The 25,072-nt window shown below is 38.8% G+C and overlaps 1 protein-coding gene across 1 annotated transcript in view, besides 5 other annotated features; it reads right to left on the bottom strand.

The window, feature by feature from the left end:
- Positions 1–25,072, bottom strand: part of ZSWIM6 (zinc finger SWIM-type containing 6) — a 213,915-nt gene that overhangs the window by 117,762 nt on the left and 71,081 nt on the right. The window lies entirely within an intron of this gene.
- Positions 10,938–11,564: an enhancer, noted in NCBI's record as "H3K27ac hESC enhancer chr5:60712674-60713300 (GRCh37/hg19 assembly coordinates)". NCBI's record gives its function as "activates a minimal SCP1, AML or CMV promoter by ChIP-STARR-seq in naive H9 embryonic stem cells {active_cell/tissue: H9 hESC(naive)}" and the evidence as "EXISTENCE:reporter gene assay evidence [ECO:0000049][PMID:30033119]".
- Positions 11,565–12,192: an enhancer, noted in NCBI's record as "NANOG-H3K27ac hESC enhancer chr5:60712046-60712673 (GRCh37/hg19 assembly coordinates)". NCBI's record gives its function as "activates a minimal SCP1, AML or CMV promoter by ChIP-STARR-seq in naive H9 embryonic stem cells {active_cell/tissue: H9 hESC(naive)}" and the evidence as "EXISTENCE:reporter gene assay evidence [ECO:0000049][PMID:30033119]".
- Positions 12,193–12,819: an enhancer, noted in NCBI's record as "NANOG-H3K27ac-H3K4me1 hESC enhancer chr5:60711419-60712045 (GRCh37/hg19 assembly coordinates)". NCBI's record gives its function as "activates a minimal SCP1, AML or CMV promoter by ChIP-STARR-seq in naive H9 embryonic stem cells {active_cell/tissue: H9 hESC(naive)}" and the evidence as "EXISTENCE:reporter gene assay evidence [ECO:0000049][PMID:30033119]".
- Positions 19,201–20,400: an enhancer, noted in NCBI's record as "P300/CBP strongly-dependent group 1 enhancer chr5:60703838-60705037 (GRCh37/hg19 assembly coordinates)". NCBI's record gives its function as "activates an origin of replication core promoter dependent on BRD2, BRD4, P300/CBP, MED14 and CDK7 cofactors, with strong dependence on P300/CBP, by STARR-seq in HCT116 cells {active_cell/tissue: HCT116}" and the evidence as "EXISTENCE:reporter gene assay evidence [ECO:0000049][PMID:35650434]".
- Positions 19,385–19,775: a silencer, noted in NCBI's record as "fragment chr5:60704463-60704853 (GRCh37/hg19 assembly coordinates)". NCBI's record gives its function as "represses an EF-1alpha promoter that drives an FKBP-Casp9 reporter gene in an ReSE screen in HepG2 liver carcinoma cells {active_cell/tissue: HepG2}" and the evidence as "EXISTENCE:reporter gene assay evidence [ECO:0000049][PMID:32094911]".

Genomic DNA, 25,072 nt, shown 5'->3' with positions numbered 1-25,072 from the left:
AGCGTGGGTGACAGAGTGGGACCCCATCTCTAAAATAAAACAGCCTAAGAGAATCACCAAAATGGCTCTTAAAACTCAGGAAAATTACTAGAGCACGGACTTCAGTTAAGAGAACCAAAGCAGGCCAAGTGAGTTAGTTCACCATAGTATTCATGACTGTGTTTTCTTTTTGCAAAAAAACATATGACAGTCCTTAACTTTAAGTCAAAACAAATGTCTTTCTTGCCAGAAACTAAAAGATTAAGGAAGTTCTGTATAAATTAGAGCTCCCTTGTGTACTGTCCACTGTAGACATAAAATTCTCTGTGGTCCCCTCCATAGATAATGTTGAGATCTAATGGGCATATACCTAACCTGTCCAAGAGCCATTTTCAAAGTAAGCAGAAATTAAGAAAGCCATCTCCAGTAGCTGGAAAACGGATTCTCAATATGGAAGAGGTGGTACCTACAATAAAATCCCATTTTTATGGACTCTGTCAGAAAAAAAAAATCATGTTAAATATAAGAAGTTTGACAATTTAAGATTTTTTTGAGTTGTTTTATTAGCATTAAATAAACATATACACTAGAATACAGTTGGTCTTTGACATCCATAGATTCAACCAACCATAGATTTAAAATATTTGAGGGATCCTGGCATGGTGGCACACAACTGTAATGTCAGCACTTTGGGAGGCTAAAGCAGGAGGATCACTTAAGCCCGGGAGTTCGAGACCACCCAGGGCAATGAAGTGAGTCCCTGTCTCTACAAAAAAAAAATAAAAATTAACGAGGCACAGTGGCTTGTGCCTGTAGTCCCACCTACTTGGGAGGCTGAGGTAGGAGGATCTGTGGATCTCATAAGTTCAAGGTTGCAATAAGTTACAAACATGCCACTACACTCCAGCCTAGGTGACAGAGCAACACTGTATAAAAAAAGAAAAAAAATATCTGGGGGAGAAAAGTTCAATGAAGTTCCAAAAAGTAAAACTTGAATTTGCCATGTACAGAGTACTACATTGAATTCATGTGAATGAAGTTATGTGTAGGCATTCTATTAGGTATTATAAGTAACCCAGAGATTATTTAAAGTGAATATACATATGTTACATGCAAATATATATGCAATATATAAAATAGCCAAATGCCATTTTATATAAGGGACTTAAGCATCCTAGGATTTTGATATCCACAAGGTTCCTAGAATGAACCTCTCACAGATACAAAGGGATGACTGATGACTGTATATATAAACACCAAAAAACTTTAAAATGTAGGCTATTTAATTATTCTGCAGCCATTGTAGTAAAGATAATTCAGTCATGAACCATCAATAGATGCCAAGTCTAGGGGGAAATTTTGATAAAGAGCAAGATATAGTCATGGTCTTAAAGTGTTTCCCCATGGATTGCTTATTAGTTCCAAGAGAAAAAAGAGTAACTACATAGTGAATTGGAAAACGCTTTGACTGAGTGATGATCACAATTAACACTACCAATAAGGAGCAAATGGATTTTGTGTGCCTCCAGATGTGATACCCTGAGAAGGACACATTACTTACACAGTATTCAGGCAGAGAATCCACAGCCTGAATTTAATCATGAGAAAAAAAAAAAAAAAGAAAAACTCAAATAAGGAAAATTCCCAAATAAGAAATGTTCTATTAGAAAAAGGTGGGCATGCTATTCTTTAAAATGTCAGTTGTAATAAAAGATAAAGAAAGTCTGCAAAGTACTCCGGAGTAAAGGAGGATAAAGAGACATTGAGAACTAAATGCATAACTGGATCTAGAATGGATCCTGTTACTGTGAAGGAAAAAAAAAATCCCATGAAGAATATTATTCAATCAATTGACAAAACTGGAATATGAACAGATTAGTTAAAAGTTTTTACCAATGTTAAATTTATTGAAGGTGACAGCTGTGCTGTCTGTATGTAGTTTTGTAAGAAAATATTCCAAAATGGTTTGGAAAAACAATATTGCTTGCATATATAAGTGCGTATGTATGTGTGAGCAGAGAGAAAAAAATGTATCAAGTGGTAAAGCAAATGGTGTAAAATGTTAAAAATACATTAATGGAGGTAACATGTTTACAGTTATTCTCTGAATTATTCTCACAACTTCTATACATTGAAATTATTATCAAATAAATTATTTTAATATAGAAGGTTTATATGTATCACAACTCAGTATTCTGCCATTTAATTTGATAAGTATAGTGTTTATATTTAAATAGTACTGTGAAAATAGTACTTCATCACAATATCACTTTACAACCTTGCAAATCATGCAATGGCCTAAACTGCCTCATGATGTCAGAGAAGGATTTAACTGTGTCAAATGTTTTAAAAGCAGCCTCCAGGTTTCCATAGCTGAGTGTAAAAGAGCAGATCCTGCTTCTAGAAGGCATTTTGTTATTGTATAATAATAAAATAGGAAGAAAGATAGCTATCCTGCTCACATCACTCCCCGTTATTTAAGAAATCCAGTTATCTGCCCATTTCTTACTAAATGAACATAACGTTCGAAGTTCCTAGCTGAGCACATAAGACCCTTCACAATCAGGGGCAGCTTACCACTTCAGATTTATCTGCTGCCACCAGGCCCATATACTCTCAACATTCCTGTCATTCTGATCCCTTTTATAAGCCCAGTGCTTTTGCACATTCTGTTCCCTCTGCCCAAAATGTCCTTTACCAATGGCCTTCTCTTTCTGATGAACCCTCCTCTTCTCTTCCTTCCTGGTTAACCTTAAATGCCTCTTTCCCTCTGAAGCTTTTCCTGACTCCTCTGACAAAAGTTAATCTTACTCCTTATGCTCCTTATACAATTCCCAAATAACTGTGTTCCCATTTCCAGGTTGTATGGGGATTTCTCTCTTTTTGTGAGTTTCCCTATAACTAGAACATGAGAACTCTCAGAGCATGAATTATAGTCTAGAACCACGGTGTCTTCTAAGCATGGTGCTTCATAAACACTGACTAGATGACTAAATTAACTTTTTTAACTGGCACAGGTTCAAAAAACAGCCAGCCCTGCAGCATTTATTTTATGCCAGATACCAGTGGAAATGCTTTACAAATGCCAATTTATTCCTCATAACAATCCTAAAATGTAGATGTGCCACTGCTATATTTCATCAATTCTATGAATATACACCTTTTTCTCCATTTTAACCTCTCTGAAATTGGGATGTAACTAATATTCAGTGGTCTATCATAGTTCCATGGACAATATTTTTTCTTCCTTAGGGGTACAGAAAGCAATGACACATTTTACAATCAATGGTCTTGGTTTTGATAAAATCCAGTTATTATTCCCAGATATTCCCTAATATTTACAAGTGAGGAAACTGAGGCACAAAAGAGAGTTTAATTAACTTGCTAAAGTTTACACATAAGAGCCAAGATTAGTGCCGGGCGCAGTGGCTCACGTTTGTAATCCCAGCGCTTTGGGAGCCCGAGGCAGGTGGATCAGGAGTTCGAGACCAGCCTGGTCAACATAATGAAACCCTGTCTCTACTAAGAATACAAAAATTAGACGGGCGTGGTGGCGGGCGCCTGTAATCCCAGCTATCCAGGAGGCTGAGGCAGGAGAATTGCTGGAACCCAGCAGGCATAGGTTACAGTGAGCCGAGATCGCACCACTGCACTCCAGTCTGGGTGACAGAGCAAAACTCCATCTCCAAAAAAAAAAAAAAAAAGAGCCAAGATTAGGTAGACCGGCTCAGAACTCACACTCTTAAACTACATATTATAATAGCTCCTCAACAAAAGTAATTCCATAGCATGAGTGGGCTACTGGCACCAGAGCTGGAACAGCCCAAAAGTGAAGCTTGCTCTTCGAGGTTCGAAAGATTCTGGGAAACAGCTGAGGTGAAGCCCAAGATTAGAAGCAGTGAACTAAAATGGACCTTGAAGTGCCTGAGGAAAAAACCGAGATTATCTGTCAGCGTCTGCTCTCCCTAGGCGAGACCAGGGTCTGAGCCCCGGCTTCTCTATTTCCCACCTCAGAAGACATTCTCTACATCTTTATTTTCTCCTTTATGTTTGCCCTTAAGTTTCCAATAAGTGCAATTATAATTCTCTCAGAGCTAGTAACTACTCAAAAAATAACCTAATCGAGCCCTGTACCTTATATCTAATCCCTGTAACATCATCTCTGGTAAATAGTTACCTAGCCTCACCTCAAACACTTAGGCAGTTCCTTTTATTTTTAGAAAGATGGAAAAAGATACTCCTTATATTAAAGTCCATCTCCTTCTAACTTCTGCTCCTATGTGTTCCTTCAAAGCCTGCACAGCAAGTTTTAATTCCTCTTCCTCCTCACAGTCTTTGTCCCCTTCTTTGAGAACTGTACTTTTGAGATAGCAACTCAGAGGCATCCTTGCTTCAAAAACTGGCCATCAGCAGAAGTGATCAAGGCACAAATTGCTGGCAGTAACACAGGCACAGGAATTTAAGGACACAGAGGAGGGGCTGCTCATTTACGGGGGAGAGGAGGCAACTAAAGGTTCATTGAGGAGGTGGCTTTTGAGGGATAAAATGTCGTCAGCCAGTATCGAAATTCTTGCATGGGGAGTGGGGGGAAGTGAATTTTTAATGAAAAGGAAAAGCTGAACTTTCAAACATATGAAGAAGTCTTTTTGGCTTCCAATATTCTTGCTTTCATTTTATGATTCTGGGCAGAAGGCTCACTGGCTTGTACAATTTGTGCAGTGCTGAATGCATAGATAACCATCCTACTGACAGTGGAATGCAGAGTTGGAATAAACACAGTGAACTTACCATCTGGGTGGTGCCATCTGATTTGTAGCAATATCACTTGCTGAAGATTCTACATGTATCTTCACTAAAAGTGGTTGCCTCTGTCACTTCCTTTCTGATCACCTAAGATAAGAAACTAGCACAAATGCAACATCTATAACTGCTTCTTAATTATCAGTGACCAACAACAAGGATGCCCATTTTCACCACTGTTTTTTGTTGTTGCCGTTTTGTTTTTTTTTTGTGTTTTTTTTTTGAGATGGAGTTTCACTCTTGATGCCCAGGATGGAATGCAATAGCACGATCTCAGCTCACTGCAACCTCCACCTCCCAGGTTCAAGCGATTCTCCTGCCTCAGCCTACCGAGTAGCTGGGATTACAGGCATCCGCCACCATGTCCTGCTAATTTTTTGTATTTTTAGTAGAGACGGGGTTTCACTATGTTGGCCAGGCTGGTCTCAAACTCCTGACCTCAGGTGATCCACCTGCCTTGGCCTCCCAAAGTGCTGGGATTACAGGCGTGAGCCACTGCGCCTGGCCCTCACCACTATTATTCAACATAATACTGGAAGTTCTAGTTAAAGTAATCAGACAAGAGAAAGAAAAAGAAAGAAAAGAAAAGAAGAGAAACGGCATCCAAAGTGGAAAGGAAGAAGTCAAATTATCCTTGTTTCCAAATTACCTTATATTTGGAAAAATCTAAAAACTCCATTAAAAAACTATTTGTTCTGATAAACATATTTAGTATAGTTGCATGATACAAAATCAACATACAAAAATCAGTAGCATTTTTATATGCCAACAGCAAACAATCTGAAAAATCAAGAAAGTAATCTTATTTACAATAGCTACAAATAAAATACCTAGGAATTAACCAAGGAAGTGAAAGATCTCTAGAATGAAAATTATAAAACACTAATGTAAAAAATAAAAGAAGACACACACAAAAATGGAAATATACTCCATGTTCATGGATTAGAAGAATCAATATTGTTAAAATGTCCACACTACCCAAAGTAATCTACAGACTTAATGCAATACCAATCAAGATGCCAATGACGTTCTTCACAGGAACAGAAAAAAAAATCCTAAACTTTGTATGGAACCACAAAAGACCCAAAATAGTCAAAGCTATCTAAGCAAAAAGAACAAAACTGGAGGAATAACATTACTTGACTTCAAATTATACTACAGAGCTATAGTAACCAAAACAGTACAGTGCCAGCATAAAAATAGACACTTAGTAAGTGGAATAGAACAGAGAACCCAGAGATGAATCCATATATCTACAGTGAATTCATTTTTGACAAAAGTGCCAAGAAAATCCTTTGGGAAAAGGACAGTCTCTTCAATAAATGGTGCTGGGAAAATTAGATATCCATATGCAAAAGAATGAAACTAGACCCCTGTCTCTCACCATATACAAAAATCAGATCAAAATGGATTAAACACTTAAATCTAAGACCTCGAACTATTAAACTTCTAAAGGAAAACTTTGGGGAAACTCTCCAGGACACTGGGCTGGGCAAAGATTTATTGAGTAATATCCCACAAGCACAGGCAACCAAAGCAAAAATGGACAAATGGGATCACATCAATTTATTATTTAAAAGCTGCTGCACAGCAAAGGAAACGATCAACAAACTGAAGAGACAACTCGCAGAATGGGAGAAAATATTTGCAAACTACCCACCTGACAAGGGATTAATAACCAGAATATACAAGGCTGTGCTCAAACAACCCTAGAGGAAAAAATCTAATCGATTAAAAAATGGGCAACATTGATGACATACTGGCTAAAGAAAATGTGGTACATATACACCATGGAATACTATGCAGCCATAAAAGAGAACAACTTCATGTCTTTTACAGGAACATGGATGGACTTACAGGCCACTATTCTTAGCAAACTAATGCAGTAACAGAAAACCAAATAAAACATGTTCTCACTTATAAGTGGAAGCTAAATGATGAGAACTCATGGACACAAAGAAGGGAACAACAGACAATGGGGCCTACTTGAGTGTAGGAGGAGAAAGAGGAGCAGAAAAGATAACTGTTGGGTACTGGGTTTAATACCTGGGTGATGAAATAATCTGTACAACAAACCCCCATGACATGAGTTTACCTATGTAACAAATCTTCACATGTACCCCTGAACCTAAAATTTTTTTTCATGTGATACATATGCACAATGGAATACTATACAGCCATGAAAAAATGAGATCCTATCATGTGCAACAACATGAAGGGAACTGGAGGTCATTATGTTAAGTGAAATAAGCCAGGCATAGAAAGACAAACTTTGCATGTTCTCACTTATTTGTGGGACCTAAAAATTAAAACAACTGAACTCATTAAGAGAGTAGAAAGATGATTACCAGAGGCTAGGAAGAAAAGTGGGGATGGTTAATGGGTACAAAAACAAAAACAAAGACAGAATGAGGCCAGGCACAGTGGCTCTAGCTTGTAATCCCAGCACTTTGGGAGGCCAAGGCCAGCAGAACACTTGAGGCCAGGAGTTTGAGACCAGCCTGGGCATCGTGGCAAAACCCCATCTCTAATAAAAAATAAATAAATAAATTAGCTGAGCAGGGTGCGCCGGTAATTCCAGCCACCTCGGAGACTGAGACATGAGCACTGCTTGAACCTGGGAGGCAGAGGTTGCAGTGATCCAAGACCCCACCACTGCACTCCAGCCTGGGTGACAGAGCAAGACTCCATCTCAAAAGAAGGAAAAAAAAAAAATAGAACGAATAAGACCTAGTATTTGTTAGCACAGCAGGGTGACTATAGTCAAAAATAATTTAATTTTACATTTTAAAATAACTAAAAGAGTATAACAGGATTGCCTGTAGCACAAAGGATAAATGCTTGAGGTGATTGATATGCCATTTACCCTGATGTGATTATTACATGTTCCATGCCTGTATCAAAATATCCCATATAGTCCATAAATATACATACTCACTATGTACCCACAAAAATTAAAAATTAAAAATTAATCATCATTATAATCAATTATCAAATCAAATTGTTCTAACGTGCACCTCCCTACACACTCTCTACCACCACTCCCCGGCAGCCTCTGTTCTACTGCTACTTAGTCAGTATAAAACATGGATAATGCTTAACACCATGCCCCAATTCACTGTGATATCAAAAAAAAAAAATTGTGTTCTGGTAAAAAAAATACTAGAAACTTCTGTATGGAGAACATTTTAAAACCTTATTATAAGTGATCTTTCTTCCTATCTGATGTTAAATGAGTCATCTACTGGTCTAGGAGCAAGTGAAATGTCTACAATATTGTTAAAACTTTCAGATATATAGTAAAAAGCTGGACATTAGTATCATTTTGTAGGTCTTTCACATGCTCCATCACTTAATCCTATTCTGTCATTAGACAATGTGCTGGTCTCTAGAGCATGTGTTAGGTTCTTTGTACAGTCATTTTTTCATTCTTTATCAATTAATTCAATGTGATGCCCTCCAGGCAAAGATGAAAGAATTTAAAGATTACTCTTGCAAATTAAAATGTTTGGTGTTCCTAAAATAACCATAAAAATATCTGAATAGATTTTACAGTTTATAAAGTACTTTCTAATGTATATGACACAACAATCCTGTGAGATATGATCTTCGTGTTACAGGTTAAAAAACTGAAGTTCAAAGATGTCAAATGGTTAACCCAAATCCATGTTTCTAGTAAAGGGCAAAGTTGGATCTCAACCCAGACCTTCTGATTGCAATTTCTAAGATATTTCTATTGATGAAACCACAACTACTTCTAACACAATTGCACACCTAACTCCAGCCCAGATCAACCTATTGTATATCCTGTTCTGTAATTCATACAACCAGAAGGCAAGGGCCACAAACTACCATTGTCCTGAAGGGCACATCCCTCAGAAGAAAAAAGCCTTTCAGGAGAGGCTTGCATTGTGTGGACAAGGCATGATATTCTAGACCAGTGCTGTCTAATAGAATTTTCTACAATGATGGAAATGTTCTATACCTGAGCTGTTCAATATATTAGCCACTAGCCACATGTAACTATTGAGCACTTGAAATGCATCACTGAGAAAATGAATGTTCCATGTTATTTAATTATAATTAATGTAAATCTAAATAGCCACATGTGGCTAGTGGCTGCCTTACTGGGCAGCTCAGTTCTAGACCTTGAAGACTGGAAGCAGAGCTTAATATTAACATCCAAATGGTATAGCCTTGAGTACAAATGAAAATCAACTTAATAGTGAGCCCAGAGCACAGCACTGATTTACTCAGTGGTTCATGAGAACTGTAATGGATGTGATACCATCAACAGTAATATAACCAGTGAGATAATGGTAGAATTATCTTTCAATCTTTCTAAACCTCTCTGGTGAGCCAAATCCAAAGAGTGACTAAAGACACCAAGGCATGTTGATAGTATCAAATACAAAGGGCAAATAACTTTAATCTATAGGCCACAATGGCTTTCCTGAGAGAAAATTCATTACTATACATGGAAACTAACCCAACTAAGTTATAAAGAGGAGGCCGGGCGTGGTGGCTCATGCCTGTAATCCCAAAACTTTGGAAGGCCAAGGCAGGGGGATCACCTGAAGTCAGGAGTTCAAGACCAGCCTGGCAAACATGGTGAAATTCTGTCTCTACTAAAAACACAAAAATTAGCCAGGCATGGCGGCGCACACCTGTAGTCCCAGCTACTCAGGAGGCTGAGGCAGGAGAATCGCTTGAACCTGGGAGGTGGAGGTTGCAGTGAGCCGAGATTGCACCACTGCACTCTAGCCTGGGCGACAGGGCAAGACTCTGTCTCAAAAAAATAATAGTAAGTTATAAACAGGAGCTGAGGGATGTGAAAAGCAAGGTGTCTCGTAAAGTAAACATTATTTCTCTAATAATAACACTTTATCCCTGCACTGAAAAATTTTAAAGAGCATCTTAAAGACCATTCCCTTGTCTCTGTCCTTAAAGTACCACATCCATATTTCTATCGCCATCTACCACTTCCCTTGGAAACATTTGTTTCTGTGTCTTGACCCCTCACTCATCTAGATAGTCACTAGAAGGTTTCATTTAAATAAAAATCATAGAGTAGGCCGGGCACAGTGGCTCACACCTGTAATCCCGGCACTTTGGGAGGCCGAGGCTGGTGGATCAACTGAGGTCAGGAGTTCGAGACCAACCAGGTCTTGAAAATTTCTACTAAAAATACAAAAAAGTAGCCGGGTGTGGTGGCAGGCACCTGTAATCCCAACTACTTCGGACGCTGAGGCAGGAGAATCACTTGAACCCGGGAAGCGGAGGTTGCAGTGAGCCAAGATCACAACATTGCACTCCAGCCTGGGCGACAGAGCAAGATTTCGCCTCAAAAAAATAAATAAATAAATAAATAAATCATAGACTAGTTCTGTATTGAATCCTTCTTTGTGTTAAAATTATTGAGCCTTTCAAAATCCCTGGATAGGTTTTATGAGTGCTATGAACAAAGCAGTTATCATTCCCCATTCCTTTAGCATAATCTACATTCAAATCACCATATTTGGTGCTGATAAAAGGACTGGACTGCAAGTTAAAAGCCTGTAGTCCTGGTTTTGATTCTCCCACTACTAGATATTTAGACCTCTGCAAACCACTTAATTTCTCACTGCCTCAGTTATTCATATGTAAATTGATGGACTGATTAGATCACCAATAAAGTACCTTCGAATTCTAAAACTCTACCATCCTGTGATATCCTCAATGGTTTTCACTTGGTTTCAAGGTCTTTCTTGAAGCTTCCTAATAAGAAAAACCACACAGTTTGCTTATGAAGCAAAACTGTGATATGTACAATCTGCTTTAAAAATTCACAGATAAACAATCTACCCATTCTCCAAAACTCTTGAGTATATCAGTTATTTAAATATAGAAAAAGACATGCATTCGCTTATAGTATTTCAAAACAAAAGTCCTTAACTGTACAAATTTAAAAGTATGCACTTCAGTGGTAAGGATCCGATTAGCTACAGTAATGATGGAGCACCAAGAAAAGCACATGCTAACATGAACCTCTTTTGATTAGCTTTTGCTTTTCATTTATGTTTCAGACTCTACTCACACAATCCACACAGCCCCTTAGGCAGCCTTTCTAATTACTGTGTTCTACAGTTCTGAAACTGTGTCCTCTAACCATACCTAAAAACAGTACCCATAGGAAAAGAAAAAACAGCATTTCTACCCATTTGAAGGCTTCTTTGGGAACCTGCATCTATTTATACTAAAAAAATCCACTTTGAAACTGAACTTGAATAATTTTAGTTGGCACGCTTGAGTGATTTTCATTTAATAATCTCCTAAACCTGTTTAATGTAGATAATATATATTGAGGCAGGATCTTCTAACAGATATAGGCAGTGAACTCCTTTGTGAACTCAAAGTCCTTTTCATTTCTGCAACTACAGTTCCAACCTAATTTCCATTAGTCTACAGGCAGATGCTAACAAAGGTATGCGCTTTTATTTTTTTTTTCTTCGAGACGGAGTTTGCTCTTGTTGCCCAGGCTGGAGTGCAATGACACAATCTCGGCTCACTGCAACCTCCACCTCCCGGGTTCAAGCAATTCTCCTGCCTCAGCCTCCCGAGTAGCTGGGATTACAAGCATGTGCCACTACGCCTGGCTAATTTTTGTATTTTTAGTAGAGATGAGGTTTCACCATGTTGGTCAGGCTGGTCTCAAACTCCTGATCACTGACCGAGGTGATCCACCTTGCCTCGGCCTCCCGAAGTGCTGGGATTACAGGCGTAGCCACTGTGCCCGGCCTTATGCACTATTTTGTTGTCTTTCTGTTCATACTTCTCATTCATTCCCTGTCTACCTTCCTCAACTTCTGTTCTTTCAAATAGGCTTTGTGTTTTCTAGTCTTAGCAACTTATTTGTGTTTCAATTCTGTCTTGCAATCTAATGGTGGTTGCTGGCAAGGCAGCTAGCTGGGGCTAGTGCACTGCGTGAGGCCAAAGGAAGGGGCAGAGCTAAACTAAATCACTCCAAGAGGGATGGACCTACAGGGATCAAACCTTTGATTCATCTCATTGGCATGAGGTCCTAAGCACCTGGCTAAAAAGCCTGCCTGCTGGTCACTCATCACTTCTGAGAGAATCAAGAAACAGGATTCTATCATACCCCCAGGAGGAGATCAGAGGTGTATAAGCTCTAACAGGTGATATAATCAGCTAGGAGGAAGATCAAAAGCAGCATGATATCAGAGGCTGTGGCTCCTGGAAACTACTGCTAGAGTGTCTAAAATTCTTATTAAAAATTTCAAGAAGTCTCATCGTTTCTGCGGGAGGAGGGGGAGATGAAGCTGTAAAAGAAGCTTCACTAGTAGGGAAATCCCAAGAGTTATTAGAATTGACTCATCTTAACAGGGCCTTGGTGAGTTATCAGCAGGTACAACAACACTGTGAAAACCGGCCTTTCTGCCTCCTTCCTCTCTATTCCTTCCAAGAATCTGGATTAATTCAGCAACAAAGGAATGCCATTCGTTCCACAAACTCACATGCAAAGAGAACACTTCCATATAACCCTTTTTGTATCCAGTGATTCCTAGACTCTGCATACTCCTCACCCAACACAAATGTAAGAAGGTTAGATTTAGATTACGATCCACACTTTTGGTTTTATAGTAACATCAGATTGCTGGTATTCTAAGCCCTGATAAACTTATCTTGAATAACTTAAGCTCCCATTACCTTTCATTGGTAAATGTTTCATGAAGTCTTTTTTGTCCTTAACATTCTCAGTTGTTTAAAACAAACCAAAAATCTTTTTTAAAGTTTTAAAGATCCAATTATTCCTTCTGAGGTAGAATGCAGCATATACATTAACTAACTTGAGCTCATCCAGCAGCAGATACTAAGTGGCCTGTAGTTGACTGGTTATGCCATTTTTTAACTGTGCCCTTTGTGAACTGTAGAGAAATGGGGCCCAGAACCTTTATATGGCCAATCAGTCCCCATGTCATATCCATCCCAACACACAAACATATTCTTACATAGGAATCAGTAGCGTTTTTTTTTTTTTTGGAGACAGAGTCTCACTCTGTCGCCCAGGCTGGAGTGCAGTGGCGTGATCTCGGCTCACTGCAACCTGTGACTCCCTGGTTCAAGCGATTCTCCTGCCTCAGCCTCCCGAGTAGCTGGGATTACAGGCACGTGCCACCACGCCCGGCTAATTTTTGTATTTCAGTAGAGACAGGGTTTCAATATGTTGGCCAGGATGGCCTCGATCTCCTGACCTCAGGTGATCCGCCCACCTCGGCCTCCCAAAGTGCTGGAATTACAGGCATGAGCCACTGCGCCCAGCCCAAGGGTTTTTATCCTAAATATTCCTATGTCATACATCAAAATAACACTCCCTTCTTGATATATGAAATATCTCTAAATTACTTTCTAGGCTCTACTTCATACATTTTCGATCATAAACTAACATGCAAAAGCCTACTTGAACTCCACCACATTCCCGAAAAGACTGCAAAAACAAAACTATTAGCTCTGTGTTGCAGCCATAGGGAACAGTACGAGGAGCATCAGCTTTGGTGCCAGTCAAACCTGGGAATGGCATTTGCTGGCTGTGTATCCTCGAGCAAGTACTAACCTCCCCGCAATCCAGTTTCCTCATCTATAAAGACAGGATTAAAATGCCATCTATTTCACAGCTTTCTTCTGACAATTAGGGTTTAGATAAAATAGCACAGAGAAAGGGATTAGATGGTGCAAGGCACAGTGTTCAACATTTTTTATCGTAACTCATCTAAAATCTCTTAAGGAAAAATAACCTAAAAAGTAAGCAAAGAAAAACTTAAAAATCTATTACTCAACAGCAGTATTGAACGCTGACCCCTTTGAAACATAAATAATCTTATTCAGTTTACCTCTCAACCATATTTAATGAGCACAGCAGAGTTCTCTCATGCTGACTGCCTCAGTTTGGGGATATGTTTGTTGGGCTTATAACTATTTCAAAATACTTCCCCTTCCACAGAGGAGACGGACATCTCCTCCCATAAAGTAATTCAGTCTGAGCTAAAATCCTGTATTTTCAAATTTAAAAACCATAACTAATTTTATAGTTGGCACAGGAAATATCTTTTTTCCTCTGCCCTAATTCTACAGGGCAAAGGAAAAAAGATTTCAGCCATGCTATTTACCTGACCTCTCTACTGCATAGCTCAGACTCAGGTCCAAAACTAAACCCTTGATTTGTCACGTCCCAAAACTGTTCTTTTCCCCCTCATTCCCAGCTCCAATAAACAGTCACCACCCCTGATCCTCAAAATAGAAACCTCAAAATCACCTTGGCTTCTTTCTTCTTTTTTTTCCCCATCCCATCCAATGCCATCACTAAATTGGGCTGATATGTCCACTTCTCTCCATCACTGCCCCACCCTAGTCCAAGCTAATACTGAACTATTACAACTACCCTCTTCACTGAACACCTTGCTTCCACTCTTGCCCTCACCAACATATTCTCCAAATAGCACCCTGAGGATGGCTTCCCACTACACTCAAGTCAATTCCTTTTAATGTACTGGAATTACCTCACAGGATGATCTTTGCCCTGTCCATTTCTCCTACCCCATCTGGTATCACTCTCTCCTCATACTGCTCTGCTCTACAACTCACACTGCGTTCCTTCCTTTCAGTTATTTGAATACATCAGGTCGCCCCACCCCCACCCCACTCCTGCCCTCAGGAGCTTCCTTCACACACACTTTAACATCTCTAATTTCCAAGAAAAAAACAAACAACCCCATCAAAAAGTGGGCAAAGGATATGAACAGATACTTCTCAAAAGAAGATATTTATGCAGCCAAAAGACACATGAAAAAATGCTCATCATCACTGGCCATCAGAGAAATGCAAATCAAAACCACAATGAGATACCATCTCACACCAATTAGAATGGCAATCATTAAAAAGTCAGGAAACAACAGGGGCTGGAGAGGATGTGGAGAAATAGGAACATTTTTACACTGTTGGTGGGACTGTAAACTAGTTCAACCATTGTGGAAGTCAGTGTGGCGATTTCTCAGGGATCTAGAACTAGAAATACCATTTGACCCAGCCATTCCATTACTGGGTATATACCCAAAGGACTATAAATCATGCTGCTATAAAGACACAGGCACACATATGTTTACTGCAGCACTATTCACAATAGCAAAGACTTGGAACCAAGCCAAATGTCCAACAATGATAGACTGGATTAAGAAAATGTGGCACATATACACCATGGAATACTATGCAGCCATAAAAAATGATGAGTTCATGTCCTTTATAGGGACATGGATGAAATTGGAAATCATCATTCTCAGTAAACTATTGCAAGTGCAAAAAACCAAACACCGCATGTTCTCACTCATAGATGGCAATTGAACAATGAGAACACATGGACACAGGAAGGGGAACATCACACTCTGGGGACTGTTGTGGGGTGGGGGGAGGGGGGAGGGATAGCATTAGGAGATATACCTAATGCTAAATGACAAGTTAATGGGTGCAGCACACCAGCATGGCACACGTATACGTATGTAACTAACCTGCACATTGTGCACATGTACCCTAAAACTTAAAGTATAATAATAATAATAAAAAAGAAAAAATAAGGAAAAAAAAAGAAAATAAACAATAGTGAAATAAAAAAAAAAATCTCTAATTTCCATTATACTGCAAGTTTATTTTTGCTCAGCAATATGTACCCAGCAACTGACTTTAAGTCTGGCACACAGTAGGTATTCAAAAGGAATGAATGAATGAATGAATGAGAACAGAAAATAAATTTTAATGATAAACACTTTCAACAATAAAATGGAAAACAATACAAAAGACCAGGCTTAATGAGAGGAAATTCACAATAAACCATTTTAAATTAATATTCAAGATGGACACTCCTAAGAAAACATAGATTCTTCAGCAGGGTTCTTAGGAACCAATACAGAGATTAACAGAAGAGTTTTGAAAACTGAGCACAATGTGCCTCTTTTCTGGTTTTGACAATCTGTTTTCACTGCGGAACTTGCTTTCTTCAATTCCATCTCAACGCAAGCCAAGAAGTAGCCCATAAAAAGAATATGCAAATAGTTAAAACACTAAACAGAACCTAAGACACAAATGTGCTGCCAGCTGCCCCAAATAACATAAACAATAAATGCCTCCACATCACTAATTCCTGATATGCAAGGAAATGGAAAGGGAAGATTCTAAATTCAAGCCCTGAAACATACTAAAATCACACTACACCTGAGCTATCAGTCTTCAGGGGATCAAACCTAGGATGCTGCTTCTCTCCCGACCCCATTTCCCAGCAAACGATGCCAGATCTAAATTATGGTAGTTGCAACTCTGACCAACCCAGAAGTTCTATTCCTGCATAAAAAGCAGTTCAACTTTCTCCTGTGAAGTTTTTCTCTTTTTATCATGAGATCTCAGTATAGGGTCCCAATCTCAATTCCCTGTGATTCATTGGAAGCAATAAGGTATCACGTGCTTTGTCCAAAGTTTCAAACCATCTAATAGAAACTGTAGATTTACCAGAAGTAAAGTTACAAGGCTAACATAACAAAGATCAATTTTTCATTTCTTGTGGGCTGAAATTAAATCAATTTATTGTGGTTACATTGGTTATTTGATCGGTATTAGCAGCTATAATGTCTTTGATTAATTTCCTAAAATCTCAATATATGAATGAAAATGAAAATGCATGCTATGGTCTGCATACTTATCCCCAACCCCAATTCATATGTTGAAATCCTCACCTCCAAGGTGATGTGCCGCCTTTACAAGGTTAAGTAGGTCACGGATGTAGAGCCCTCATGAATGGGATTAGGGCCCTTAAAAAGAGGCCCAAGAGAGACCTTTCATCCTTTCCTTCTACCACATGAAGACACAGCAAGAAGGTGCCATCCAGGAACCAGGAAAAGGGGCCTCATCAGACACCCAATCTGATGGCACCTTGATCTTGGACTTCTTAGCCTCCAGAACTGGGACAAATAAATTTGTATGGTTTATAAGCTACTGGTTAAAGGTATTTTTGTTATAGGAGCCTGAGTGGATTAACACATTGAAGACAATATATTTCAAAACATGTGTTAACTAGACAAAAGTAATTTTAAAGTGTTCTTATTAAAGACAAGGTTGAAATTTCCTGAAACATTTTAGAGTATTCAGGAAGCAAAACTATATTCTAGCTTTGTCCAAAAGCTTCCAATTAGGGGGTTGTTTCTTCACTAATATCAAGACTTCAGGGAAGCAATTTTTACTGTATTCCCATCCTTTGTAACTCAAAATGTGCTCACCTTAGTTGTCATTAAAGTTTAAAAAACAATTGAGTCACACTTAAGTCCAAATACAGACTCATCCAACAAGACACAAACATTCACTCCATATTTTGAGAGGACTGTATTTTAGAAGAACTGATAACTAATTTGGCAAAAACAAAGAAAGGAAACCTCATTCTAAATACACACTCAAATCACTCAAGGCTCCACTCCTAGAGCACAGGACCTCCCAGCGACTTTGCTGCAGTGCTTCAGACAAGCAGAGAGATGGAGAGACCAGTCAGCATCCACACCAGGTTGCCATTTCTTCTGCTGCCCTTTCCAAGCATGCCAAACCATAGTGTATTATTAACCAGAATATTCTTACGTCTTCATAAAAGCGTTTTTTGCCTTGAGTCCTGTTATAGGAAAACTAATAAAAAGCATTTTCCCCTGGAGAAACTAAGACACGATGAGATTAAAAGTGGACAAAGTCGTATAACTGGTGACTTAGCAAACTAAGCACACTTCATACCTCATTCTTAATTCAATGTTCAATCTGTCAAATATTCCTGTTGGCTATTCTATGTATTAAATGAAATGACCTTAATATTTGAGTTCAATGTAACAGTAGTTTACAACTCTGTACTCTTAAAATTATTCTGCATGAAGTGTACTATCAACAAAAAGGTATCTAAGTGAAAAACACCAGTCTTTAGAATCTAGTCAGATGGTTTAAAAAGGAAATAAATCGCCGGGCACGGTGGCTCATGCCTGTAATCCCAGCACTCTGGGAGGCCAAGGTGGGTGGATCACGAGGTCAGGAGATCGAGACCATCCTGGCCAACATGGTGAAACCCCATCTCTACTAAAAATACAAAAATTAGCCAGGCATGGTGGCACGTGCCTGTAATCCCAGCTACTCGGGAGGCTGAGGCAGGAGAATCGCCTGAACCAGGGAGTCAGAGGTTGCAGTGAGCCGAGATCGCACCACTGCACTCCAGCCTGGCAACAGAGTGAGACTCCGTCTGAAAAAAAAAAAAAAAAAAAGGAAATACATCCATTATTACAATACTATTCACAAACTCAGAACACTTAAATTCTGTGCAATTGTCAATGTGGGGCTGAGCACTAGAGTACCGGGGTAATTTAGGGCTACACATGTTGCCTTTTGCCAAGGCTGGTCCTGAGTTTTCGTAGTTTTGTATCTTCCTGGTCTATATGCTGACTTCACCTTAGTTGGGCTGCTATACATAGGTGAAATCACAGTGATTGTGCCTAAGGAAACCATGAAGATCATACGGAAGCTTCTCAACATGAAGGACAAATAAGTCCAAGGCTTCCTCTCATGAAAGGCTAAAACTCCCTTTATCAAAAGTCACAACAGTGCCACTTTTACAAATCTGGGGTCCCTGAAAGAGTTACTCAAATCAATTAAATTAACTATCAGATAACTTCAGTAGCTACTCAAAATAGTCTTCCTTTACTGGCCTGATCAAGTAACAATGTTTTCCATGGAGCTTAATGGCTCCTTTTAGATCCTTGTCTATGAACTGGTATTGCACTCCATGCTTACCCACCCGCAGCTCTCACCATCCCACATATCCCTCTCCACAAAAAGCTAATAAATTTGCATTCCTGACTCTGACTCATACAACTAAGAAACCGAAGACTAACAAAACTCTTAGGTATGACTAAGCAAAATGATCTAATTAATAAATAGTCAAGAAATACAAATGTTTTTAAAAGTAAAATTAACCATCAAGAAAACAGGGTATGGTGGAGAAGGGGGAACTATAGCTCTAAACACCATCCTTGTAAGTTGCTACCAAGAACCCACATTTTTCTTTAAAGGCTGAAAATCAGCAGTAATAACCCAAAACTATCTTGCGCAAAGGTGGTCTTAATAGAGATATAATTAATCTTGCCAATTTTCCACATAATTTCTCTCCTTTTTTGATCTTTTGCTTTACAAAATCATGCTTGAAAACTTTTACAATTTCTTTCTGGTAGCAATTCTGAAATGAAAATGGACTGCAGGTAAGTAAATTTGAGAACCTCCTTAAACAGCAAAAATCACCTCCCTAGCCCCTCCACTGGTAAAAATCACCAAAGTTTTTACTGTGGCCCCCTCGTTCTCAGAAACAAAAACAAAAACAAAATGGCCTTTGAAGTTGGACAATTTGGTATGTGTTACATTTAATTTTGTGCTTATACTTAATACCTAAAGTGAAGCAATACAGAGGCCTGGATTTCAAAAACGGGAAAAAAAAAAAAAAAAAAAAAAACCTTTCCCCTCATTACAAAGAAAATCTATAATCATAATTTAGAAGTCATCAAGGAAACGCAAATCTTGTGCCACCCCGCCTCTGCGCGGTCGGGTCAGTCACACACACGCCGCCCCGCCCCCGCGCCATCAGTCACACGCAGGCCTCGCCCCATCCTGACTCCCAACCCCGCCCCTCGCGCTGTCAGTCTCTGACTCTGGCCTGCGGCTGAACCGGCGGCGCTGACGTCAGCTGGCGACCGCGGCCGCATTCCTAAACAGTTCAGACAAACCCACTGGTGGGAAGCTTCGAAAGCCCTCAGCTGTAGTGAGGAAAGCAAAGGTTTGGCTGGCAGCCAGACTCCTGAGCTCAGCATTTTGTAATGCACTTCCTTTTTATTTAACAGCTTGCATAATGCCCTTAACCCTTCCTTTACCTGCATCACACCTTTAACCCCTTCTTTTCCTGGTCGAACTTCGAAGCAAACTTCAGAACTTGGTCTCCCATAGGGTTTTAATATATTCCTCACCAATTTACAACTGACTGATTTTTAATACTGCTGAAGAGGCAATTTAATTAAATGCACTTGCTCCCCCTAAACTGCTGTTTCCCCCTTAAAGCAATGTTAATTTTCAAGCAAAGAAATTAAAACATTTTATTAAAACAACGTATTTTAAAGCTTTTTTAGACCCCCTCCTTCATAATTTATCTTCTTGAAATTATTGTCAAGAGACAATAGCTTCAAATGGTCCAAAACAAAAGGGTACACAGTGACAAAATCTCCCTCCAACTTCGTCCCTCAGTTGCCCTGTTCTCATCCCATGATAAATTGTTACTTCTCTTGTATTCACCCAGAAGTATTTTAGTGATACATAAGGAAATACACATATATTCTATTTTCTCCTTTTTAAAATGGTAAACTCTATACATAATGTTCTCTACTTTGCTTCCTTATTCTTTTTTAGAATTGCATGGAATTCCACAATTTAGCAGTCCCCTATATATGAGCATTTAGGTAATTTCCCATCTTTTTGCTATTACAAATAATGCTGGTGTGAAAATCTTGTATGACTGTCTTTCAAGAATAAATTCCTAGATGGGAAATTGCTACATCAAAACAAACACATGCATTTGTAATTCTGAGAGGTAACAGCAAACTGTCCTCCACTGAGACTGTACCTTTACCCTCCCACCAGCAGTGCAGGAGGATGCCTATTTCCCTCATGCAAATCAGGCTGTCCCAGAATTCAGATAAGAGGCTCTCTCTCAAGCTTATTTTATTTTTAGAAAACAGATCTGTGAAAAATTGTATCTTAGTGTAGTCTTAATTTACATTTTTCATATTATGAACGAAGTTGGGCATCTTTTTATATATTTTAGAAGCCATTTGTATTTCTCTGTGAACTGTTAAATCATCACCTTTGCCCATTTTTCTATTTGTTCATCATTTTCTTACTGCTTTGTAGGAGCTTATGTTTTTCGAAAAGCAGTGTTTTGTGTATGACACTTTGAAAGATCTTTTTTATATATTTTAAGAAAATTAGCTCTTTGTGACATGATTTGTGAAAATTTTTTCCAGTTTGGTAAATTTATCTGTTTCATGGTTTCTGCCATAGAGAAATTTAGGGATTTTTATGTAGCTGAATTGTTACCAATCTATTCTTTCATGGTTCTTGGTTACTATTATCACAGACTGTCATTCCCCATGCAGTTTGTAGAATAATTTTCCAGTGATTTCTTCAAATATTTTTATGTTTTCAGTTTTACCTTTCAATATTTAGAGTCTGTACTTTTTTTCCTAGATATATATCCACTAGTCCCAACACAAATTGAATAACCTATCTTTTCTCACTGATTGGAAATGCTACCTTTATCATATTCAATAATTTTTCTTATGTAAAAGTGGGGCTCAGAGGAATTTTAGGCTGCACTTACACCAGTGTTAATTTTAAAATCTGGTATAAAGTAAGATATGTTTTCCATGGACAACATGGTCCAGTTTCAATAACTAAATTTCAGATTTGGGGAACTGTGTTTGTTATTTTTAAATGAAACTAAATCCTTTTTAAGATTTCTGAGAGGCCGGGTGCAATGGCTCACGCCTGTAATCCCAGCACTTTGGGAGGCTGAGGTGGGTGGATCACCTGAAGTCAGGAGTTCGAGACCAGCCTGGCCAACATGGCAAAACACCGTCTCTACTAAAAATACAAAAATTAGGCAGGCATGGTGGCAGGCACCTGTAATCCCAGCTACTCAGGAGGCTGAGGCAGGAGAATCGCTTGAACCCGGGAGGCAGAGGCTGCAGAGAGCCGAGATCATGTCACTGCACTCCAGCCTGGGTGACAGAGCAAGACTCTGTCTCAAAATAAATAAATAAATAAATAAATAAATAAATAAATAAAAGATTTCTGAGATAAATTATAGTATCATATGCCACCTTTAAAGACTTAGGCTTTTTGAAAGTAAATACCTACTCGGAAATATTACTTCTGACTAATTATGACAGATTTTAGTCTTCAGAGACTTCATAAAATTACCAGAAAGATGTAAAATGTTGAAAACATTGTTAAAACAAAATTTTGATACTGACTGTAGACAACTTTGCCTTTTAATATATTCTTTAAGGAAAAATGAGTGAGGAATGAGGATGATCTAGTCCTTTCAACTAATTTTTACCTTTCTTTCAATATCTGTTAGGGATTACTACACCAGGTCCCTATAAAATTTCTAGGCTTCACATTTATGTAAACCATCATACTGATAAACAAGTAATATACTATTAATATATTAAGTATACAAATGTTTTCAGCTTTAGTAGATGTTAAAAGACAGTGATATGCAATAATGATCAGTTGCTGAAAAGAGCAGAACCACAGTTTTGAACAGGACCTCATAAGGTTAGGCAGGTGGTTCCCCAAAGAGATAGCAAAATGACACAGACCTGCAGACATAAAGTTCAAAGTACCTGTGTGTTAATGGAGAAGGCCAAGACTGGAGGGAAGAGAAATTCTGCCAAAGCAGGGAGAAGCCTCCAACCCTGAGATGCAGAAGACCCTAATGCAGCTCAGGCTGTCTACTGAATGACAAGGTTATCATTTATTTCACAGTAGTCCCAAGCTCCAGACCTCACAGGACCACAGACTATACATAAAGAAAAAGTCTTTAAAGGTATTTTCTTTGTGTGATACATATACATATTTTAAGATTCTGAAATATAATTCAAATAAAAGACTTTAATCTTCCAAATAAAGATGTGGTGCTACAATTATTTTTATGGAGTTACTCTTTTAAACTCTGAGCCCCTTTCCATATAGAAACTATGACACTGAGAATAAAGTCCAAACAGAAATGACTTTAGAGCTCTTGACACTCTGTCTCTAATCTACTCTTCTACTCTTGTGTTTTACAGAGCCTACACTTTGGCCTCATGGAAGCAAAGCCTACTGTTTTTCAAACATGCCTGTTGTCTTTGCTCAAGTTTTCCTGTATCTGGAATACCCTCCCAAGAACAGAAAATACCAATCTCTAATGCAAATCTTCTCTTATTTTTAAAGGCTCAGCTCAAATGCCACCTCTGTAATTTCTTCCTCCTCTGAGGAGTTAGCCCCTCATAAAGTCTATTAGCCTCTCCATGACGATGATGGTGGTTGTGGTGAAGAAATTGAAAGAGAAATGTCATCAAAATATATTTAAATTCTCACTAATAAAAAGATGAAAGAAACTATACTCCATTAGACAGGCCACTACAAAGAAGAAAAATGTAGATCCTATTTATTTAAAAAATCTACTTAAGACATTCCACTTATGTGAACAAAGTATACATTTTGATTAATCCCATCTTTGGTGGTTGGAGTTTACAGTATACCCACCATATCTTCAAACATAGCTTTCTATCAACAAATGAAAAGGAATATAAAAGAAGACAAAAGCTAATACACCTTAAATATAGCTATTATAGCAACTAACCTCTACAACAGGATAATTACAGTTAAGTTCAACTGGTCTCTCACTCCTAGAAGCTCTGGCTGTTGGTTCGGAAACCCTTCGTATTTATGGCCTTATTTGTCATATTGTAAGCCCAACCATTTCTGCTACTGGTATTGACTCCTATAACTTAGGACCCTGACCTCCAAAGGTTAGGGTGGGAAACATATCCTACAGTTCTCAAATCTAACTGGGCATCAAAATTACCTGCATAACTCAAGAAATACACAGATTCTCAGGACTGAAGCCCCAGACTTCCTTAAGTATAATAACTAAAAGTGGGCCCCAAGAACTCTATTTTATAAAAACAACCAAAAACCCGAAGACAAAAAAACAACCCTCTCTAGGTGATTGGAATGTTTGGAAAATGAGAATATGGGGCAGAGCCATGAAAGGAGCAAGAAGGCTAAAGGAGGCGGTGAAATCCCTCTCCTCTCTTGGACTTAGCTTCTCTCTTCTACTTCTCTCCCAGCAAACAAAGAGGCAGCTACTGGCAGAAAAGAATAGAAAGAGCAAAAGCTTTAGCAACAGTGGCTATAGAACTTTTCTCTTTAAAGTTCATCTTCCCTCCTCTACCATAAGGTCTGCTGCCTACCAACAAATCCTAGCCAAAGACAGCAAAACAGGGATGGGAGTTTGCCTTGAGAGGTGGTAGCCATGGCTTAGAGGAGCTGGAGACAATGTGAACTTCAAGAGGGCGATGGCAGCCCTTTGAAATTTTTCATCTGCCTTAATTTATGCCATTCTTTCCCCTAAAGATCGGAAAGTAAATAAAAATTTAACCATTGGGAACAAGGGGAAAAAATGCAATCATTTTAAGAATGCAACTGATAAGTGAGAAAATGTGAAGGAAAGTTTTCCGGTGGTACAAAAAATACTTTTTTAACATCCTGGCTAATACGGTGAAACCCCATCTCTACTAAAAATACAAAAATTAGCCGGGCGTGGTGGCAGGCGCCTGTAGTCCCAGCTGCTCGGGAGGCTGAGGCAAGAGAATGGAGTGAACCCGGGAGGCGGAGCTTGCAGTGAGCCAAGATCGCGCCACTGCACTCCAGCCTGGGCGGCAGAGCGAGACTCCGTCTCAAAAAAAAAAAAAAAATTACTTTTTTAAACCTCCCAAGATGGCTACTGAAGAGACCTCAATAAGTCACCTAATTCATCCTGGGAAGACAAGACTACAGTTAAACTATCCAAGGAAAGCTACTCAAAAATATACTTCAGGGAGTGAATTCCCACATAATTTAATTTCCTCACTGTCAAAAACATCACTTAATTATCAAGAAGCTCCCAAGATTGAAAACTAAGAACTGCACATTAAAAACTGCTTCCTCTTATGACAAAAATCTACACTGGCCAAAAAAGGTTTCCACTCACACGCAGAGTCTAAGCATACATTATTTTGTACGATTCCAGAATCTTGTTTACAGGCGTGTATTCCCTTCTGATTTTATTCAAAAGATTCTCTTTTCTTTTCCAAGTGTGCTTTCTAAATCTGAAGACAAAGTGTTCCTTTTCCCAGGCTCCTTCTTCCCTGGCCTCCATGTGATGAGGCACCCATGCGAGAAATAAAGGAGCTATAGGGCTCATAGTGGTCTTAGTTGTTAGTCTGTGAAAGGCTGAAGTTGCTAGCTGCATATGGATTAGAATTTTCCTGTTTACAATGGTCCCCTGCTCTATAGCAAGAGGAACAGGACTGACCACAGGTCACATGGTTTAGAAATCTTAGGCCATTTTTTACATTTTAATTTTTCTAAACAACATGGCTTTAAG

Source organism: Homo sapiens, chromosome 5, assembly GCF_000001405.40.
Source record: "Homo sapiens chromosome 5, GRCh38.p14 Primary Assembly".
NCBI lineage: Eukaryota > Metazoa > Chordata > Mammalia > Primates > Hominidae > Homo > Homo sapiens.
Note: the sequence above shows the minus strand (reverse complement) of the source record. Positions and strands in the feature narration are given on the sequence as shown.